The 22,733-nt window shown below is 39.7% G+C and overlaps 1 protein-coding gene and 1 pseudogene across 6 annotated transcripts in view, besides 2 other annotated features; one reads left to right on the forward strand and one right to left on the reverse strand.

Annotated features, from left to right (window-relative positions):
* Positions 1-22,733, reverse strand: part of SEMA6A (semaphorin 6A) — a 131,269-nt gene that overhangs the window by 105,406 nt on the left and 3,130 nt on the right. The gene's annotated exons all lie outside the window — the stretch shown is intronic.
* Positions 9,857-10,729: an enhancer, noted in NCBI's record as "H3K27ac-H3K4me1 hESC enhancer chr5:115894513-115895385 (GRCh37/hg19 assembly coordinates)". NCBI's record gives its function as "activates a minimal SCP1, AML or CMV promoter by ChIP-STARR-seq in naive H9 embryonic stem cells {active_cell/tissue: H9 hESC(naive)}" and the evidence as "EXISTENCE:reporter gene assay evidence [ECO:0000049][PMID:30033119]".
* Positions 10,730-11,601: an enhancer, noted in NCBI's record as "H3K27ac-H3K4me1 hESC enhancer chr5:115895386-115896257 (GRCh37/hg19 assembly coordinates)". NCBI's record gives its function as "activates a minimal SCP1, AML or CMV promoter by ChIP-STARR-seq in naive H9 embryonic stem cells {active_cell/tissue: H9 hESC(naive)}" and the evidence as "EXISTENCE:reporter gene assay evidence [ECO:0000049][PMID:30033119]".
* Positions 13,565-14,104, forward strand: RPS14P8 (ribosomal protein S14 pseudogene 8; annotated as a pseudogene).

Below are 22,733 nucleotides of genomic sequence, written 5' to 3' on the forward strand. Positions count from 1 at the left end.
TAAACCACTGATTTAAAGGTTCTCAGTGCTAGCTGATGGAAAGACCAAATAAGCACTTTTCAGGCTCTCTGATGAATCAACGAAAAATACAAATAAAAATCACTGTAAGCAAACAACAAAATGGACCTGATAAATCATCTCTTAAAACCTAGATGGAAAAAACATCACATGCTAAATTCCCTTAATATCGCCAGGGACCTACTAAAAGCATACTTTACAAGTCTTTATAAGCCTCTACCATTTGAGGGCCTGAATCTAGAAATAAAAATTTCTCTTGGAGTCAGAGAGGTGAGCATTCATAATGGAATAAGTTCCCCCATTCCATACCCTCCCATAGCGTATGGAGAGCTCGGCACTAGAACAGAAGCACTGAAGCCTGGAGAGGAGAGATTAGAAGCAGGAGGATCTTGATCATGCTTATCTCCTGGAGAAGACCAGACTACCATAAAGCCCTCATGGATTTGGAAGGGGAAACAAGAATGGGGAGCTGGTATGGAGGTAGCTCAAGCTAAAACCCCAGGGACCCATGGTTGTCTATCCTCTGACTGCAGGTTAGGAGGCTAATTTTCTTTTCATCTCCACCAACATTGCCCAGACAAAACAAAATATAAACAGGTGGAAACAGAAGACATGAAATAAGAATAATTTTATTTATAATAAGTGGGAAATTACCCTCTTCTCTTCTAACAAGGCATACATATCCAATTACTGTTAACAGAATGTGCCATATCAGTACTTTTCTGGTGACAACAGGAATGCAGTATACTCTTTATACAAAATTCACAAGGGAGTTTCCCTCCACCAAATCATTCATACTATGTACAAATTATAACACTTTTCAGAGCATTTAGTAGTATACAAACAATAGTCAGAACACACAAACGATACTTATGCACTTTCACAAACACCTCTTTGCCCAAGTGCTACCTGTACGATCGGTCACGGCACACATTCCATTCAATTAGCTGTGACCCAGAAATGCCAGTTACATTGCTCTTGGGCCTTCTAAATGGTCGTCTAAATGATCATGTTTGAGTCAGTGATGGATCCTAACCTTGTACAAGCAGAAAATATGAAACTGCATTGCTTTAGGATTTGAGTGGAAAGGGACTGATGGTTAAAGAGTTAATTTTTTTAGAGGCACTTTAAATCACAGTCATTGTCATTTTAAAATATAAATGTTATACATATCCATTGATTACTTTAGGTCATTCATTTTCAAAATATTTCCTCTTATGGCTACTTCTAAGCATCCTTGGTTTTTATTTTAAAAGCAAAATCAACATATCTACTGAAGGTTAGTCACAAATTTCACATTGTCAGCAATATCTAGTTTATTTTAAGAAAGGAGAGATTACCAAGAAAATGATCCTCTCTAAGGTTATCTGACACCATTTCTCCACCTTTTGGTTCTGAACATTGAAACCATGTCTGTGAAATAATACTCCAAAAGTGCTAATGTTAACAATATCTAATGATACAGGAATCCCATGGCAGGCTCTGAGGGCTGGAAACTTTGCCTTTAACTGGGTTTACTGAACCAATGAGAAGGCAAAAGAGATGCTTTTCTCAGAAATGTTGATCTAATCTTCTTTAAGTACCATTTTTTGAAGGATCTGTCAGCATGTGCCCAGTGGACATCTCTGCACCCTGTAGCCTGGGGACCTTCCACAGCACACAGGTTCTCTGCAGTAATAACAGTAATAACAGTGCTTTAGGTTTACCTGGGCTTCAGGCTTTGTAAAAACAGGACATCATTTGATCTGCACCAAAACTCTGAGAGAAAACTTGGCTTTCTAATAATCTTACACATAAGGAACATTATTCTCAGGATGATTAATTAAATCAGAGGCTGCCAATATTGACTGATCATCACAATCACCTGATGGGCATTGATTCATAGATGCCCATACTTCAGCCCTGGAGATCAGGTTTGTCTTGGGCAACCCAGTACCTCAAGCAGCCTCATGCCTAAAATTCTCACTCTGAAGGATAGGAATCTAACATTGTCAGAAGAGGTCATGGATCAGCACCATTTTCAAACGCTGGCATCCGTTAGCACATTTAACAACTAACACTGCACAAAAGGATCATTAGGGAATAGTCTCTGTTCTTGGAGACCTCAAAGATGAGTGGCTTTATGGAATTCATAAAGCATCACTTAGATGAGGTACACATACAGGTCATGACCAAATAGAACATGGGTGAAATAATCTGAAGGGGAAAAGCAGAGGAAGCGAGTGACATGCAGGGGCTTTGAGAGTAGGGGAGGTGTCAAAATGGATAACGTAGGCAATAACAGCCAAATATGCCCGTGTTACAAGTGTAGAATCAATTCTGCATGATAGTCTTAGCATACACACACACACACACACACACACACACACACACATTCTCTTTGCAGCTCATCCTCTATCAGCAGAAGATTTACCTTTACAAAGCAGAAGATTTGGGGGGAAATATAAAAATAGGAAACACTTATCTAGTGCTTATGATGTAATGGGAACTCAAGGGAATGTATACATATGGACTAATTTAATCCTCACAGCAACCCTATAAGGCAGATGCTATTACTACTCCATCTTACAAAGGAGGAAACTGAGGCCCAAGGAGGTTAAGGAGCTTGCCTGATGTCACACAGCTAGAGAGTGATGGATTTGAACCCAGGCACTGGCTTCTCTGCAGGTCAGTGACATGCAGTCTCTTCTCCCATGCACATAGTTTCATTTGCGGACATCTTTTCATTCCCACCCACCACTAAGTTTTGACCTGATTGTTAAGTTCAGATATAATAGGTATCTCAGAGGTCGTAATCACAACAAGCTTTCTCTTTCAGCTTCCTGTCTGCAATTAAACACAGATGTGCTACAACAACATCAATAATCCCACTAAAGAATTAGTGTGTCTGGACTGACAATGTAACGTATCAGGAGCCATCAACTTTCTGACAGCTATCGTAGGACTTTAAAACATATCTGCCAGATGTTTGTCACAAGGATTCTCCTGAGAACCAGTCACAGGATCTTGTCTGTAGATTCTGACTGCAGTTTTCTACATGAACCTGAAGAAATGGTGACAAAGGAAAATACAGGCATGCCAATCACTACCCACCAAATGTCCCTGACACCAGTCAAAGAATCACTGATTAACCTGGAGAGCACTGCAAGGTGAGCTATAGGCTTGTTCTTGCTCTTTAAAATGTCCTAGAGTGTCTAAAATAACACTATTTACGGCCTAACGCTTCCTCTGATGTACACATTTCCTTTAAAAAAGGATTTTGTAGTCAATCATTTTTTTTCAGTATGTTTTAGCGTGTTAAGTTGAAAATTACAAAGAACAATATTTGGGTAAAGTGATAAAACACATAACTTTACACAGACTAAGTCTTTTTAGTCAAGGGGAGAAGTTCTATTTTTCCAAGCCAGGGTAAAGGCAGGTGCCACAGAGGTCTATGGGAATGAAATGAGATGGTGCATATAAAAAAGCTCTGCAAAACTTTACACTAATTACCTGGCCACTTTCTGGGTCAACTGATGATTTGCTAATAAATGAAATACTCCGGGTTCATTAAAGGGACGCTCTTCTCCATCCTTCAGCATAGCTACACAAGGCCATGGAGCAATTTAGTTAAGCGGCCCGGGCAGTATGAAGGTGAGACAGCCACCGTCTTGTGAGGGAGCATCAGGCCACATCCTCTGTACTGGCAGGAAGGTTCAAAACCGATCTATTTCGGTGAAGGGACAGCTATGGAAAAGCCTATTTACACTTACAGGAAGTGTTACTAATGGGGCACTTTTACAAATCCAATAGAAAATAATTTCATAAGAGGTGCCAAAATGTTGCCAGATGGGACAAAAATGAATACGTTGTCATTCCACCATTGCCAAAATATGCTGGAAAATTTTAAAGAGTAAAATCTTTTGTGGATTGGGTGTAGGGATAAGTTACTAATGATGGCGATCCTGTCTCCAGGAGAAAAGCATCTTCTAGCAAGACAAGGGCCCAAGAGGAGTTGGCCCTGCTCTAGGGAGCATTCGCTCATTGTGAATCTTTGTGAGTCACCAAAGGACACTTCTCCATTTAGAAAAAAGCAAACCGCTTAGAAAACTATAGAGGGAAAATGAGTACATACAGCACATATGCACATACAATATATTATTATTAGACAACTATATTACTTTGAATAATACGTTACATAATTTTGTATCAGATCTATTTTTTGTGACTGTGTTTGGAAAGTTTTATTAACATATTCACTTTAAACACAAATACCTTTCAGTACTTGAAAATCCATTAAGTATAATCTTAGCCAAATTTCTTATAAACCTCAGTGAAACCACCTCTGAACTCCAGGTTCAGTCCCTCAAAGGGATTAAATCTTAAACACACCATCACAACCACAGCTCTGGCGGCTCACACTTGGTGTCATTAGCGTCTATTTAATATGGCAGCTGATGCCTTGTGGTCCCTTGCAAAAGGGGGAGAGCAGAGCCTTGGAGAAAAGTGAATTATAATTGCCTGCCACAGGACTGTGTGGCGCTGCCTGTGACAGCAGCAAATGGGGAAAATAGGAAGGCATTAGAGAAGGTCTGTTGTACTGATGAAGTGGAATTCCTAGAACACACTGTGCTATAAAATGAGATTTGGCTCCACAGTGCTGGGAGCAAACAATGGACTCAATAGTACCCGGCCTTGGTTGCTGGGCATATTCTAGCTCCTTTAGTCAGAGCAGCCTTTCATTCAAAGGAGCAGGAGCCACACTAGAGAATGGGAAAGAGGGGGTGGATTCCTGGTCCAGAGAAATCCTGAGAGTGAGATGTTAGGGGGGAAAAAACCAACATCCTTTCAACCAGGATGAATAGTACCATGATAAGATAGCTTCTCACACTCCATACGATACAGCAACCATGTATACCATTTTTTAAAATAAGTAATTATAGAAATGACTGATAAAATGTGTCCAGCCTGGGTTAATACCAATTGTGTTTTGGAAATATCTGTAGTGGAGCATGGATCGTTCTTAAATCTGTATTCCTGGAGAGGAGTGGGAAAAAGGAGACTTCAATAGGTAATGATAGGAGGAGGGCCACAGAGAGCCCTATAGTAGGAAAGGGCTTTCTACTGTAATAAACAGTAATAAACAGTAACATCAGTAAAAGTGTTTTAAACCATGCATTGTAAAACTACATCCTGCCTTAGAAAGAATTATTATTTGCCGGCACATAGATGGGAACAGATTCCAATAGTATTAATAATAAGCCAGGAGTTAGAGTTTGTTCCCAACTTGCAAAATTCAGAGGAAAAAAAGAGGAGAGAATGCTTACTCAAAAAGTGTCTCTAGCACTAAAAAGACAGTTGAACTGTTGAAATCAAACTTAATTGTATCCTGTACAAGTAGGAGCAAGCCCTATCTAATGATTTATGGGGCATAGTCAAACCAGTTTGCCCCTGAAATATCCACTTTAAAACAGCTTTAGGTTTTTAAAATCCATCTAGCAAAAATATTTGCACAAAACTACATCACAGATAAAATAAAATACACACATTTATTTGGAGGGGTTCATATTAAGATAATACGTAACAATTTGTATAAAGTATTTGTTCAAAAACTACTGCATAGAAACCAACTTTGTGGAGAAAATTCTGCATTTTAAGACTTGCTTTGGTGAGAGGTGGGTGGTGAAGTCCAAATGATCCTTCCTTGGCCTACCTTCTTAAAAGGTTTCAATTAAGTATATACATACAAGCATATATACATATAAAACAAATATTCAGTACCTTTTGGGAGTTTCATGTCAAGAAGCCCTGGAACCAAAAATCTCTGGCTATGGAGAAAGCTCAGTTCCCCAACAGGGCCTCCTCCCTAAGCCAGGAAAGGCAGGCTTGGGCGTTGAGATGGTCAACAGCAGATACAGCCCATTCCTGCCTTATTTGTTGAGATTGTCAGGAGGGTGCCAATTAGTGCCTATTTTGATGAAGCCTTTTGTGTTGTGAACATCTGTCCACTAGCATCTGGTCAGGGTCCAAGTCCATTTCACAAGAAACACCAAACAGCTGTCAGATGGTTCTGACTTTGGGTAAATACCAAATGAACACAATCCTCTCTGCCACCGGGAAGGAGGGGCCCCAGTTCCCATTATCCAGCTCCAGAGACACCCAGTCTCCAAGCTTTTGTTAGCACATTCCCTAACCCCTGACCAACAAGTTCCTTATTTTTGTGAATCAGGCTGTGCCCACCTGAGTAAACTAGAATGGATAAAGCCAAAATTAACTCTTGTTTGCTTGAGAGCTAATGATCAGCCCTTGTTTCTCTTCTTGACTCACCCAACTTCTTTTCTATCTCCTCATTACACCTCAGTGAAGTAGGGGTGAAGGCAGGCTCAGAATAGGGGTTTACTTTCCAATCTATCCACTTTGCTGTTTAGCAGTTCAGCTGTTTGGTTTTGTGAAAGACAAGTGTTTAAACCCCATGACTCAATCTGAAAATTCAGTTTATTGGTACGAGTAGTTAATGCCACATATAACAAAGTTTTATTATATAAAATAAACTTGTTTGTATCTATACATTGGTTTTGAGTCAGACATTAAGTTAACAGAGCCAGGTGCAGTGGCTCATGCCTGTAATCCTAGCTACTTGGGAGGCTGAGGCAGGAGGACCATTTGAAGCCAGGAGTTCTGGAGTAGCCTGAGCAACATGGCAAGACCCCCCCTCAAAAAAAAAAAATTGTAAAAATTATCCAGGCTCGGTGTGCACCTGTAATCCCAGCTACTCAGGAGGATCACTTGAGCCCAGGAGCTCGAGGCTGCAGTAAGCTATGATCATGCCATGCTACTACACTTCAGCTTGGGCAACAGGAGACCAGTCTCTAAAAGATAAATACATATTTTTAAAAAATCTAATTAATTGACAGAGATCTTTGGGCCCTCTTTGTTAGTGAAAATCCCTGAGTATTGTGTTTCCAAATACACAATCTACATTACCTACAATCTAAACACTGCATTCAGAAAACTCACCCAGTGAGGAAATACTTGATATTATGACCTCGGAGTTTCTTCCTCTGAGAACAGAAGACAGGAAGGCTATAGCTCAAGGCACCATGGGCCTGATAAACATAGGCTCCTAACTGGGCACTGGACCCAACAAAGGCAAATAACAACTGTAGCAAAACATAGTCACCTAACTCCTAATGCCTTATTTAATATTTTAGAAATATCCAATAAGATCTAATTTAGCACTCTGCACATAGTAGGCATGTACTATATTTCCTACATAAAATGAAATAATGATTACTTACTTAGTTATTTTAAACCATGCTCTGACACACAAAAGAACATAAAGAGACAGAAACTGGCAGAAAGATTCATCTGGACACTATCATCTCCTCATCATCTTTTTAGTTTTACTTGTCAAGAACCCATATCCTGCTGGTGACAAAAACATTGAATTTAGCTCATTATATTAGGAGGGTTTGGTGTCAAATATTAATAGCTAATTTTTATTGAGTGTTTATGTACCAGACATCATTCTGGTGCATATTGTTTCATTTAATCATCAGACTCCCTTTATGAGGAAGGTACCATTAGTATTTCCCCTTTACAGATGATGAATATGAGGCACAGAGATGTTAAGTAATGTTCCCAAGATCTCACAGCCAATAGAATAGCAACCTCCAGAGCCCATACTTTTAACTACTCTATCATAACACCCCTCTAGAAGAAAAGCTGACTTCCAAGTGTCATTTTGGTGTTCAGCTTCATTTTGTGTGTGTGTAGCGCTAATATGATTTTAGTTGTTCTTCCTGATCTGAGTTTCAGAACTTTGGAAAACCACTGTTACCAGTAACCATTTTTATAGAAAACATGTCAGTCACTCTGCTGCTGTAAGCTGGATGTACTTGGAGTGTTGCAACGTTACCTTCATAATCCACTGAGAATGCCATCATTATACATGCAAAAAATAGCTACTGTGTCTGAAATTTACTCTCCCCACTTTCTGCAGACTCTGGAGTATGCTTATTCTTCATCCAAGAAAAAGCAGAGTTGGCACTACTGTGAGAAAAGTACTTAACACCACCATTTAGGTTGTAGGGTGTGCTTCTCTTCTTAATATCTTTAGAGAATAATCTTTAAAGTGCTTGGATCTACTCTTTGAAGGTTTGTAATAGAAAAATGTGTTGAAGTTTGAGAACTCTTCTCTGAGGACTAATTATATCATAAATTTTGAGGCTGTCTGGTCAAACACATCCCACCCAATGGTGGTTGAAATACTTTTCTTTTTGTTTTTTGAGACAGAGTCTCATTCTGTCTCCCAGGCTGCAGTGCAGTGGTCCAATCTCCACCTCCTGGGCTCAAGCGATTCTCGTGCCTCAGTCTCCCAAGTAGCTGGGATTACAGGCATGAGACACCACTCCTGGCTAATTTTTGTATTTTTAGTAGAGACGGGGTTTTGCCATGTTGCCCAGGCTTGTCTCAAACTCCCGGCCTCAAGCCATTGGCCTGCTTTGGCCTCGCAAAGTGCTTTTCTTAATACTTATAATTTTTATTTAAACTAAAGAAGTTCTTATAGCCTTATTTAGAGAGAGCTTATTTTATCACATGTAGCTTTTTTGCACATACAAAATAGAAAATAAAAGTGAAGTTAATTGGTTAAGGTAGTCCTAAAACCTGTGTTAGACTTGGTATTCCGGATATGGCTTCAATTCAGTCATTGGTGTGTGTTTTTTCCAGTGCTGTCTTCTATGCCATCAAGAGCACTGGTGATGTGCACATTTTAATTTATTCAAAATCTTTCAAACTATGTATCATAAACTTAACACTCTAGCTGCTGACTAGATGGTAGCATTCTGTGTGTTTTGTCACCTTTCCGGGGATCTAAACAAAAGTGGTTGTGCTGAGATTCAGTAACACTAGAGGGCAGCCTCCAAGTAAAGTTAGAAACAAGCGATAGCACAACTATGCAATAATGTGGCACGTAATAGATAAATAATCTATAATTTGGTTTCTCGGCATTATGATACCAACTCAAATATGGTGTCCCAACATTTTTTAAAAATCAAATCGTTCCTTAATGTTTACTTCTAATATGCCTTTAAAATAAGACATCCAAACAAACAGTTTCATAAAGGTTCTCTAGAACCTTTCTAGATATTCAGTTTGTTAAAGCCCCCTGAAAATAGTTGATTTTCCAATCCTGTTTTGTTTTCCTTTTGTTACTCAGCTTCTTTTTAAAATACAGAATGAGAATAAAACATTCATGTTACAAGTTTTATTTAGAAACCCCACAAAGAAAAATGTAACATGAAAGATAAATATAGAATACCCATCTTTTTTAATTTTTACTTTTACTTTAAGTCTTGGGATACATGTGCTGAATGTGCAGGTTTGTTACATAGGTATATATGTGCCACGGTGGTTTGCTGCACCTATCAATCCATCATCTAGGTTTTAAGCCCCGCATGCTTTAGAGAATACCCATCATTTAAGGATTCTTTTTTTTTTTTTTTTTTTTTTTTTGAGACGGAGTCTCGCTCTGTCGCCCAGGCCGGACTGCGGACTGCAGTGGCGCAATCTCGGCTCACTGCAAGCTCCGCTTCCCGGGTTCACGCCATTCTCCTGCCTCAGCCTCCCGAGTAGCTGGGACTACAGGCGCCCGCCACCGCGCCCGGCTAATTTTTTGTATTTTTAGTAGAGACGGGGTTTCACCTTGTTAGCCAGGATGGTCTCGATCTCCTGACCTCATGATCCACCCGCCTCGGCCTCCCAAAGTGCTGGGATTACAGGCGTGAGCCACCGCGCCCGGCCAAGGATTCTTTTAAATAGTATAAAAACAACACAATTTAAGCGTTATTTGTTTTGTGAATTACATCGTCTGCAACACCTCAGTTGCACATGGCAATTTAAGAGACAAACACTCATATAAATATGCCCAACATTGAGCCGGGGGGAGAGGGAGAACACATGTATATCTAATTTCAGAATTTAAAAACTTTCATAAAGTAAAATTGTTTGGAATGAAATAAACAGGAACTAGGTGGCTCCATATATGCCCCGATTTTTACATGAACAGATCATTTAGCGCTTGGTCCTCCTGCCCATTTTTAACAGTGGTTTTTATAGATGCAATGAATGTGCTTCCGTCTTCCTCCTATTAGCCACCTCATATTATGGTATGAACCTCCCTAAAGTTGAAGAGTGGTCCCAACTGCAAGACCAAATGCTACAGTTTAAACATACTCAAAAATTTCAGCAGTCTTTGTGAAGAGCTGAGGGTGAGCACAATAGGACTAGTGAAAGATTCTCTCCCCCAGCCTGGAAGCTTGGGGGGATGAATAACTCCTCCCTCCTCAGGCCCAGTCCGCAAGGCCTGGTGCGTCGCCCAGATAGCAGAAGCAGGAAGACAGCTGGCCGGAAGACAGGTACCCCCTGGAGATTGAGAGGGGCCGTCAGGGTACCACGTAGCAGTTACAGTCAGACTGGGACACTTCCTGTTTACAGAAGACTATAAAACCCCTGCCCCATCCGCACTTGGGGCTGACGCCGTTTTAGGCCTCAGCCCGCCTGGGCTCATTACAACAGCGCGTTACTCCACACCGCCTTGTGTTGTTTGTTGGTGCGCTCTCGGGGTTCGGACCAATACAAGAGCCTTGCAACTAGGTGTTGGACTTTGGTGTTTTGCTTATTATGTGTCACTTAAATACGGTTTATGACAGCAGTTAATTAAATATTTTGTCTGTAAACCTGGGTTCCTGTCCTGGCCAATGCCACAACCATCCACTCAGCTCCCCAGAGGTGATACCTTGGAACCATTTTTTACTCCTTCCCCTCCCTTACCCCACACATCCAACTGGCCTCAAATCCTGTTGGCTGTACCATGCCAACATACCCAGAATCTGTTTCCTTTTTCAACTCACAGTCCTAGCAGATTTATACTTCTAAAACACGGATCTGGTGACATCATCCTCTTGCTGAAAAGCTTCAGCCACCTGCAGCACCCTGGGCAGAGCCCTCCACAAGCTGCCTCAATGCCTCCTCTGTCTTCAGGGCTTCACCACATCACCTTGTCCCTGTGCGTCAGTCACCAGGAGGCCCCTTGCTGTTCTGGGGCCAAGTCCTACATTCCCCACCTCTGGGCTTTGCTCCTGCTTTTCCCTTCACCCCACTGCTCCTCCTCCCCCTTGCCTCCCAAATACGGAGACCTCACTCCGCAATTGAAATGCTTCCTCCTTCAATGGAGCCCAGCCTGACCTCCCAGCTGGACAGAGCCACTTTTGGCCTTCTTAGCATCTTCTGCATTCTGCATTTGGGACAGAGAATAGTCAGGCCTTAGACTAGAAAGACTTTTCACATCTCTACCTTCTTCACTGAAATGTGGGCCGACAGTAGGTACACAGCCAGTAAATTCTGAACTAGTTCATCGCTGCATCTCTGCAGTGTGTAGAACTTTTCCTTGCCAAGAGTAGGTGCTAAATAAATTATCTATTGAATTAAATTGAACTGCTGCTTTCACTAGATCTAGTAGCCTGAACCAGAGTACAATGACTTTTGTCAGAGGGAAGATCCACTTAGGTTGTGCCATGCAGTCTATTTCATTCCTTGCTAAAAACGTGTTTCTGTTTTATAGGTAAGAGTTGCAAGCCCCAGGAGGATATTCCTGACAGAGTATCTAATTCAACCTTCTGTCCCTCCAGTTCTACCCTGCGCCAGGGTCAAAACTGCCACCCTTATGTAACTATTTATTTTTATCCCGACCATAAAATAGGACTAGAATCCCAAATAAAATCACCTACCATTTGCCATTTGATATTTCTTAGGGTGATTTTGACTCAAGACACTCTAAGAACCTCCAGAGACAGTGAGTGTCCCCTCCTAGCAATGGTATTTCACTGAGAAGTAGGAATTTAGGTCCCAGTTGCACTAAAGCCTCAGACGAAATCCTCAAAAAGCTACTTCTAAACTTGTTCTATGTCAGGACTCACTTCTATGTAATAGGAAAAATGTGAGAACTATGATTGGACAATTTTAATATTTTTTTAATTTTAAATATTGAGTACACAACACAGCTATATGGAGGAGCACAAAACTCAGATTCATATGGTTTGGGACCTTGTCCACACCCTTCCCTTACCAGAGGTGTGCTCTTAGGCAAATTACTTGACCTCTTTGAACCTGTTATCTCATCTTTAAATTGGGCATAATAATACCTATCCTGCCTAACCTAGAGGGTTGTGATAAGATGAAATAAGGCAATGTTTATAAACACATTTTGAAAAATACAAGCACTATATAAATAGTCTTTATTATTAATAATAACACCATTAAATACAGTCAGTAAGCTGACTTCTAATTCTAATGTAGAACTCAGCAAGACTCATTTGGGGAAACGTTATCTCCTTACTGGGCAAAACAGCCCTATCTAAACACCTCAAAGCTGGGAGCCAATCTATTCTCTCCCCAACAAGGTGCCACCCAGGAAGGTGTGTTGAGCACTTTAAACATGGCCAAGGAAAAACAATAAAAGATGCAAATACATTATGGTTACTTTCCACAGAACAAGCAAGTTAAGACTAGGTATGGTTGATGACATGCATTGTCCTATTCGTACATTTAAAACTCTTTCATGTTCTACGCAGAATTTGCATTTCAATAACAATGTGATAATGTCAAGTTATTCACAACATTTCAAAGGCTTGTCTTGCACACCTGGCATGTTGGAAGATCTGCTAGAGAACTGGATGTAGCTGTTTTCTAGCAGCAAAGGCAATTACATTGTCCTTTTAATTCTTGGGAACGGATGTGTTTGGGCAATATTAACAGGTTTTGTGTTTTTGACACAACAAAATATGAAAACGAAAGCATCACCCTCGGAGATATCCCTGGAGAATTAATTAACCAGCATATTCAACATGTTGAACTTCCCCTCATCACAACTGAGAGGAAACACCTTGTAGATAAAAGTTGACTTTTTAATAGAAACCTTTCCCTGTACTCTGAACATCCCTTTATAATTTAAAAAAAAAAAGTATCCAAAAGATGTGTTACCTTTTCTCTTGGCTACATGTGAATCTACTCTGCTCTTTCTAACTTTTGACATCTCCTCCTTGGACAAAGGTGGGATCATGCAACAGGGAGGACTTTTTTCTATTAAAAATAAAGCCATACTGCTATGCAGTCAGACACATACTCTAAAAATTATTTTAGACAACCACTACCCTGGAACACAGTACATCAAATATTACGAATCAATTTAATTTCAGTAATTTCTCATTAAGGTGCCTACAGATCAGTAAGTCTAATTGTAAAAGCTAAGCATTTATAATTCATAAGCATAATTACACTAAACTAGATGGGTTATATGCTATTAGGGTTTTGTATAAGCTACAAAATAATTGTTCACAGAGAAATATAATTCATAAATTGGCATTAATATATCATATCTAACCTTTATCAGACCCTCTAGTTAAAAGTTGAATGTAAATAGCACATTAACATCCTAATTCAGGTTTTTGATATTTGTTCTAAAACTCATGACACAGGAAAAAGTACTTTTAATCAAAAATAAGGCCCACTCTTTCCGGTGTGGAGTCTGGAGACAACGTGCAGAAATGGCACCTCGAAAGGGGAAGGAAAAGGAAGAACAGGTCATCAGCCTCTGACCTCAGGTGGCTGACGGAGAAAACATATTTGGTGTCCGCCATATCGTTGCACCCTTCAATGACACTTTTGTCCATGTCACTGATCTTTCTGGCAAAGAAACCCTCTGCCGTGTGACTGGTGGGATGAAGGTGAAGGCAGACCGAGATGAATCTTTGCCATATGCTGCTATGTTGGCTGCCCAGGATATGGCTCAGAGGTGCAAGGAACTGGGTATTACTGCCTTACACATCAAACACCGGGCCACAGGAGGAAATAGGACAAAGACTCCTGGACCTGGGGCCCAGTCGGCCCTCGAGCCCTTGCCCCCTCGGGTATGAAGATGGGGTGGATAGAGGACGTCCCCCCCATCCTCTCTGACAGCACCCGCAGGAAGGGGGGTCGCCGTGGTCGCCATCTGTGAACAAGACAAGACTCCTCAAAATATTTTGTTAATAAATTCCCTTCATGAAAAACAAAGGCCCAATTCTCTACAGTGTCTACAATATTCCCTAGTTGCTATGTTTAGTACTTTATAAAGGGTACACTTGGGCAAAGGAAATGCTGCTAGGTCCAGCACTTCTGCAGTATGCTTTTATTTGAAAGAACTGGGGCACCACTCAAAATCCCATTCAATCTTTGGAAGGAATGGCCTCGAATCCAGCCAGAAGCCAGTAAATATCAGCAATTTTGATAGGTAAATTCCTTTAAAATTAGGAATGGTTCCTCTGAAGATTCAAATACTCCACACCACTTACAAATTTCAGTTGTTCCCCAAGTGATATTTCATTCTTTGTATGACCATTCTGAAATGATGCAGAATCACATTTTTCCTTGTAATGAGAATCTAGTGTGGTTTGCATGGCAAGACAAAGGAAGCAAGTTCATGTCACTACTGGCTGAAAATACTCTACCTAAATACAGCCTCCAAGGCACACAAAAGAAAATCTGTAATCAGAAATCATTAATTAAGGTTAATTAAAGTCCACATTGTATTTGACTGACATCTACACAAAAAGTACTTTTTACTTTTCTTAAGCTACGTGTGCAATGTTGTGTCTAACCCGACACCCAAGAGTAATCACAATCTTGTTATCATTTGAGAGAATGAACTCAATTCAACAAAATTCTTTTTAATGAAAAAAGCTTTGATCTTACTCCCACTGTTCTCCTCCATTCCATGTCTTTTGTTGTTGTTTAAACATCTAGCCTATGCGAATACTGTAAAATGAACAGAACCTATTTTCTTACCCTGCCAAATAATCAGGGGTCCATAATACTGAATTTACAAATGCACATTTTCTTTGCTTCTCAGAGATATCTGAGGGGAGGTGGAGAAGGGCTGGGAGATAATTGAAGCCTCTGGGTGAGCCAGACCACATGATCAAAAACTGCTGTGACACTTAAAGTGTTTCTCCACAAGAAATTCCGGTGCCTAGAAGCCCGGTGAAACCAGTAGCAATTAAGGCCATGTTATCCTTTTAATTTACTTCACATTATTGGCCTCTAAAATCAATCCTTTAATGTGGTTGGGTAACGGATGGGTCAACAAAATAGGCACGTGCATTAAAAATGCTTGTTGATCTTACACAAAAATGTTGGCAGGCTGGATCTGGAGAAATTTAAAACGCTGCCTTGAAGCTCATTCTGAAATAAAAACTAGTCATTTTCTAGTAAAAAGGAAAAAAATGACTGATTTTCTAGATTAGTCCCATTTGTAAGGAATTCAAAGTTTCTTCTTCTAAATCAGCCTAGATTTTCACTTATGCTTTGCATGTCTTGAATTCAACACTGTTTGCTTCCAGTGTGAGATTATTTTATGTTTTAATCTACAAAGGAATTAAATTGCTTGGCTTAGACTGGTAGGAGTCCTTGAAAGTCCACTTGAGAAATGGAAACTGAAACATGAAGTGTACCACTATCCGTTGCACAAGGCCAAATTTGCCAACCAGAAGCAAGCTGTGTTCTGCATCACACGTGAAGCACATAAATCGCCAGAATGTGTGTATGTGTATCACCCTCTTACAGCAATTTACTCCCCAAATCCTTTCTTGACCAAGTCACACAATATATACACCACTGGAGAACATTCTCTAATCAACTCTAAAGTCACAAACCTAAAAAAAAATAGCAAAATATTGAAATTATTAAATAATTGAAAAATGTTCATATACTATTCACGAGTTGACAAAGCAGTAGACCTACAGTCCAAAATGTATGAGCCTTTTGTTGCAAAATACAGTAAAATGGTCTCTAGCTCCTTAGCAATGAGTGTCAAGTGTAAAAAAGGAAAGGTTAAACCTGAAGTAAAGCTCTACATGTTTCCATTGCCAAAATAACACACGGCACACAGCAATCATGATGTCATTTTATTTATTTAGTAATCTGCAAAGCCAAAGCCAAATTATGGAGCAGAAATTTTAAGCAAAGTCATGAATGGCCTCATTTACCTCCACATTTGTGAATAGTCTTAATGAAGAGTTTGCGTCCCTTTGCTTTCTTGTTGAAATATGAAAGTGACATCAGCCTCTGTACTGTATTTTTATTTATTTATTTTTTTTGCCAGCAAGACTGAGCAAGAGGCAAATCCTGGATTAAATACCAGCTGGATGTGCACATAACAAGGTCCAGGGAGACACTCTCAGAAGTTGCCTCTTTTAATCCAACACTGAATTATACGAGAAGCGGTTTTCAGTCTTTCAGAGCACAACTGTCAAAATAACTGCAAGGCTTGCAAGCCCTAGTATATCTCAAACCTTTCCCAAGACACCCCAACACTATGTGAGGCACTGAAACTATGGCAACCGAATAAGAAAGCAGCCTCCATGATTAACAGATGAAGATCCCAGCGACAGTGTCTAGCTAGGGCCATCATTCATGATACAAGAAGAATTAGCACAGAATCCGTCTCGAAAACCATTAACAAGTATTCTTATAAAAATCAACTCCACTGCCATTCTGCCAATATACTTGAGTTTAGAATGCTACAAACAATTTGGTTTCTATTTATCGCTCACTATGCAGGAATGAGAATGTTCTTAGAAACTCAGATGCTCATGTTTTTAAAATAGTGAAAGGCTTAATAGAATGGTTTTCCACCTGGGTATTTTAGGCCTAAGAACAAATACATTGAAAAACCAAAATATGTGAATGAAATCAAGTGGCTCTCTGGGTAGAAAGGAGGAGGGACAGTTGTTGAATTGTTTTGAGTGTTTTTTTGTGGAATGCAATTTTTTGTAAAGCATTCCATTTTCAGGAAAGGAACGTTTCCATTCACCAGCTCAATCAGTATTCTCTCAGTTTCCTCATTCAAGGACAGTAGGAGTCTGGGGGAGGGGCGGGGAAGTGCTGAAGTCGCTGCAATATTAATGAAAAGACTGAATACTTTTCTTTAAAAAACGAATCAGGAATAGGAACAGGGAAAGAAGAATGGATCTATCACAGCTTGTCTGTAAAACCCTCATAGAACATTAAAACATAATTAATACAATCTTTATTTCTTCGTAGTCTCTAACAATGTTTATTTTCCAATGGCATGTTTTCATTGTATTTAATGCCAGATCCTGTTCTGTTCTATAAATGCTTCTAATCAAATCATGGCCAAAGGCTGGTCTTTGAAGCGTAGAGGGGCAGAAGGGCTAAGAAAGGCGTAAACAGCACCAACTTTAGAGCTTCTTCTGCTAAATTTTTTTAATTGGCATGGATTCTTTGAATTTAATGTTCTACAGATGACAATTATAGGTTAGTTGGAAATTCCTAGAAAGCACCTAGGAATATTAAAAGAAAGCTTCAAGTCTAAAGGCTGCATGAGGAAGTATCTATTACTAACAATGCTTTCTAAGCAAAAGTCACCATACTGGCTGCTAAGAAGGATCTGAAACTTCGGTCCTTGCAGCATGTTAATTACTGATTTATCTCACACTCTTTCCATTCTGTTTCCACTTACAGAGTTTGAGAACATTTTATTTCCTAGTTGAAAATAACTGTAACTCTAAGCCATGGAGGCATTCCTGGAAAACATAATGGTAGCAGGGAATTGTGGTGATAACATCAATTTATTTCCCCTTCTGCTGTGCCTTTTAGAAGTCAGATTTTTCTCACTGATAAGAACTTGTATGACTATCATTTGAATCAAATTTCAGGTTTTGTAGTAGTGTGTCTGTCAGCAGAATAACTGCTATCTCTACTGGGGTCAGCCAATTATTTCCTACCTTTGGTGTGGAAGGCAGTAGTTTGCTTTTGCTCCCAAATTGATTTCAAGCTTGGCCAGGGAAGAGTGACCTGGCAGATGCATGCCCAACCTGAAGACCCTCTTGCAGAAGTCCTAGCCACAACCTCCTCAAGGGTTCCAATCAGCAGCCGAGTTTCTCTCCTAAGACAGGTGTGGTCCTTGGGAATTCAACTCATCCCTAAAATTGTCATTATGAGTTGCTTTCAGATTCTAAATGTAGGTGCAGAGTGTACATTTTATTATTAAAATGTTAATAAGTGATAGCTATCATTTTTCAAAAACTATCCCTTGGGCTCCTATTTGATATAAGGCTCTGCTTGTTATTATTATTATTTTTTATATATAGTGGTTTTTTCCTTCCATGTTTTGGGTGTGATATTTCAAATTCCAAAGTTTCCCTGTTTCCTGTTTCCCTGCAAGTGATGTATTCACATGCTTCTCAACTTAAAACCCATGACATTATGGCCTGTTTATGGTATGAATGTTTGTTTCTAGTCCAAAGGTTGTTTTCTTTTGCATCATCTCTTTATATTACAGATTCGTAGCCATTTCCTTTTCTACTATTTCCCCTGCCCCCCAGAATAAAAGTACTATCTGCTTTTTCAAAATCCATTCCTAGGACATTTTTCGTAACTACTGTTACTCAAGTAAAAATAATACCTTATGTTGAATGACTGCTTGTTGTGTGCCCGGCATTGTGACATGCATTTTACAGATGTTAGCACATTTATTCTTCTCAAAACCATAACATTATCATCATACTAGCACTTTGCAAATGAAAACTGAAGGAGAAAGGAAACTGGCATAAAGTCACACTGTTGGTAAATGGCAAAACAAATCCACGTGCATTGTCTGTCAAAAAAGCATGACCTCCGCAATGCCTCTAGAGTTGTCCACTACCTTCCCTCCAACGGTCCCTTCACATTTATTAACCTCACGCCACAAGATCTAACGAATTCGGCCTTGTTATGACAAAGATGGAAACTTCTACTAGTCCTGGTTCACCCTGACATATTAATCGTTACACTGATTTGAACTATTTCAGAATTTAACTGAGCAAAAACAATTATCTTACTTTTAAACTAATTCCTGGCAGAATGGTACTCCTATGACCTTGCCTGATTTAATGATAATGTTGAAAGCAATGTTTCCTTGACATGGTAGGTGTTCTAATTAATAAAGTTGCTATCCATGCTCTAGGTGAACTGTACAATTTCAATGAATTTGAACATATTATTTAGTTGCATAATGTGATTTACATTAAAACTACATGAACAGTGTATATTCTACCAAAAATAATTTAGAAGATGAAGTAGGATCTCTGTTATATCCAGGGTCCAGAGTGGGAAAGAGGGGGTTAACATCAAACTTCCCAAATTTCCACAATGCGTGTAATATTTCACTAAATACATTCACATTCATGATTTCGTATTATTTTCCCAGTAATCCTATAAGTTAGGAAGAATAGGTTTACTATTTATAATTTTCAATTAAAATAATGCAGCCACAGAGAAGTTAAGTGACTTGTCCAAGGTAGTGAGAGTCTGGAACTCAGGTCTTCTTGTCTCCAAGTGCAGGATCCTCAACAGCAGATATACTGTACGGGTACAGGGCAGAAACATGGGTTAATAAAGTATGCTGTATTCTCCTGATAGAAAGTTGAATTTTAAAACTACTATTAGCAAACTCCAAAAAAACATGAACGTTCTATGGCCAGTGGTTAGAATGCAGAACAAATGAGGCCAGGGTCAAAAGCTCAATCCCCACAAATGCTGGCTGTCTTCTTAGCTCTGTTTCTTGGCAAGTTGATTTTACCTAACTCAGACTCCCTCCAGCTACAACCAGGTGTCTCACAGATGTGTGCTCTTGGACACAGGAGGGGACTGGGTGAGAATGTGGGAATGAACAGGCTCCAATCCATCACTACCACTGGAAAAACAACACAGTGAATGTTCCACTAATGATGCATGAGCCATACCACCTATGTGCTTGGAAGATTGTACACACACACACACACACACACACACATTCATGCATGAAGTACACACACACACATGCATGCATGAAGTATCTCATTTGATAAAAACATGATATAGAAAAACAAAGGCAGACAAAATAGATAAAATAAAGACTAGTTGTTTGCAAAAATGATTCACTGTTTATTCATTCAGCAAACACTTGTTATGGATGGCCCATGATGTGCCAGGCACAGCTTTAGGTGCCAGAGTGAATAAAGCCTAAAAATGTCTATCCTTATGGCATTATGTTCTAGTGGAAGACAGAAAATCAACAAGGACAACATATAGTTTGTCAGACTGTGAAAAATGCTAAGAAAAAAATAAGGACTGCCAAGAGGTGGGGAGTGCTGTGGGAAAGAGTAAAGTAAATAAGGGGATCAAAAGGCTTCACTGAGAAAGTGACATTTGAACAGAGACCTGAAGAATATGAGAAGCAAATCATGTAGCTATCTGGGGAAAGAACCATCCCAAGGCATGAAAGAGTAAGTCCTTGCAAAGGACCCCAAGTATATGCCATGCTTGACAGATTCAAGCAAGCCCAAGGGGTGGAGGTCAGAGAGGTTGGAACCTGAGTGCAGATCATGTGGGGCTGCAAAGGCCATAGGAAGGACTTTGGCTTTTATTGGAAGAAGATGGGAAAACATCTGAGCAAAGTAGTGATCTGATCTGGTTTAGTTTAAAAAAAAAATCACTGCTGTGTTTTGGCTGCTGTGTTGAGAAATGGGCAGAGGCAGGAATGCTAGTGGGGAAGCTGGCATGAAAACCTAGCAGGAGAGGACCATGGCTTGGCCAATTTGAGGGCCACAGAGGAGGAACACCTGAAGGAAGCCTGCAGGTATTCCAAAGGTGGAGCCAACAGCATTGCAGCCACAATGGATGTAGGTGTGACAGAGAAGCTTCAAGGAGAACTAAATTTGGGGGCCGGCAACTCAAAGAATGGAGTTGCCATTTACTATGATGGAGAAGACTATGAGAAAGGCAGATATGGGGGAGAAAGATACAGAATTAGGTTTTTTAAACCTAAGTTTGAGATGTCTATTCAGGAGGAGCTACCTACCCACTAAGCATTGGTTATTTGTGAGGTCCAGGAGAGAGGTCTAAGCTGAAGAGGTTATTTGGGAATCATCTGTGTATTATGGTTTTATATGATACCCTCTATTGGTGTAAATGGAATTATTGTAATAAAGTTTTGCAAGAGCTCATCTGTTTCACAAAGCAAGATACCCTTGTGTATAGACTATATGCAGTAGTCCCATGGTGAGAAGTTGTCCTGAACTCCTCCCCTTGAGGTTTGTGTGGTATGACATCTCATTTGCCCATTTCGAAGGGATTAAATGCCTCCCTCCTTTCTCTATCTTACCATATCCCCAAGAGGCAACCATGTGGTCGCCAGCAGAGAATAGCTCAGTTGCTCTTGCAGCACATTTTAAAGCAGATGAGAAAAGCCTTCACGCTGAAATAGAAATATCTCAGAGAAAACTTGGCTCCAAGGCACCCCAAGAGAGTGGGGGGGGTTCCTGATATGGGAGGGCCCAGCAGAACGCCTCAAGGCATCACCTTCCTCAACATGCACAAATGTGGCTGCCATAACACAAAGCTTCTATATAAATATGTCAAGGAGCACTCCTCTACTCTAGGAGGACAGAAAATTGTCTAAACCTAAAGAAGGGTGTGGAGAGGGGCAGTGCAGAGATAGGCTTTCCTAGGCATTGCCTTACACAAATGGCAGATGCTTAATTAAAGCATTTGCAATTAGCTTAGCTTGTTCTGTGATTCCTTCCTGCAAACAAATAAGATGGAGAGACTATATTAGCTCTTGGCAATCTAGTTCTAAAAAAACTTTCATCCCATCATCACTCTTTTGTCCTGTTCTGAAAAGCGCTGAACCACAATGTACACAGAATAAACTATCTGACTTAACTCCTGGTTCAAAATAGTATTTTTCCTTCCATTTCATATAGGAGTGCAACTACCCATTTACTTTTAAAGCATAACTACTTATTTTGAATTTAATACAAGTTCTTAATTTGGATGCCTCATTTTTATTTGGTGAAGATAACAGTCTTCCTAATTCTTGCTACACTTCTGATTCAACACATTAGACTTCACTAGTGCAATGTTACCCGCCTACTCAAAATACAACTGCTATATGTGTTTAATGTTGGAAAAAGCATTTACTAGATTTTGGAAGAACTTGAGGGGTGTGTGTTGTGTGTAAATAAAAAGGTGCACTTATTGCCGCCTTATCATAACCACTCACTTGAAGGCATATATTTTTTTTTTCACTGTAGGGAAAATAAAGAAGTCCACTTTAAGTGGACAAACATGAACCATGTGTGACTATTTATTTCATTCATTCGACATTTACTTGAGTGTTCTATACTGGTTCTTATAAAATTTTTACCTATTTAAGCTTAGTTGTTATGTCCAATAAGTATATTCAGCTGATGGCTCCTCAGAAATGATTTTCGGTATCTGCTTAACATTTACATATGTGGATTATATGCGTTATTGAAAATGTAGCACATCTCTAAAAGGTGATAGCTGCAAAACCTAACATATGGGGAAGGTTGTCACCCACAAACACTGTACATCAGAAACATAAAGTAGAATGCTTCTTTACATCAAGTTGAAAAATGACTCATAACCAAAAGTAAGATTTTAAATTTGATGTTCGTTCTTTTCTGCTTTAAACTGGTTTGCAAAGTGCCTCATTCAAGAACGTCCCAAAACCAAAATAATAACAGGGAGTAAGGGTTACTCAAGATTCAAATAAAAGTTACCATACAAACAAGCATGGGTAAACCAAATTCAAATAGCTAGTGCAATTATTTTTTAATAGATAGTTTAGGTTA

Source organism: Homo sapiens, chromosome 5 (genome assembly GCF_000001405.40).
Source record: "Homo sapiens chromosome 5, GRCh38.p14 Primary Assembly".
NCBI lineage: Eukaryota > Metazoa > Chordata > Mammalia > Primates > Hominidae > Homo > Homo sapiens.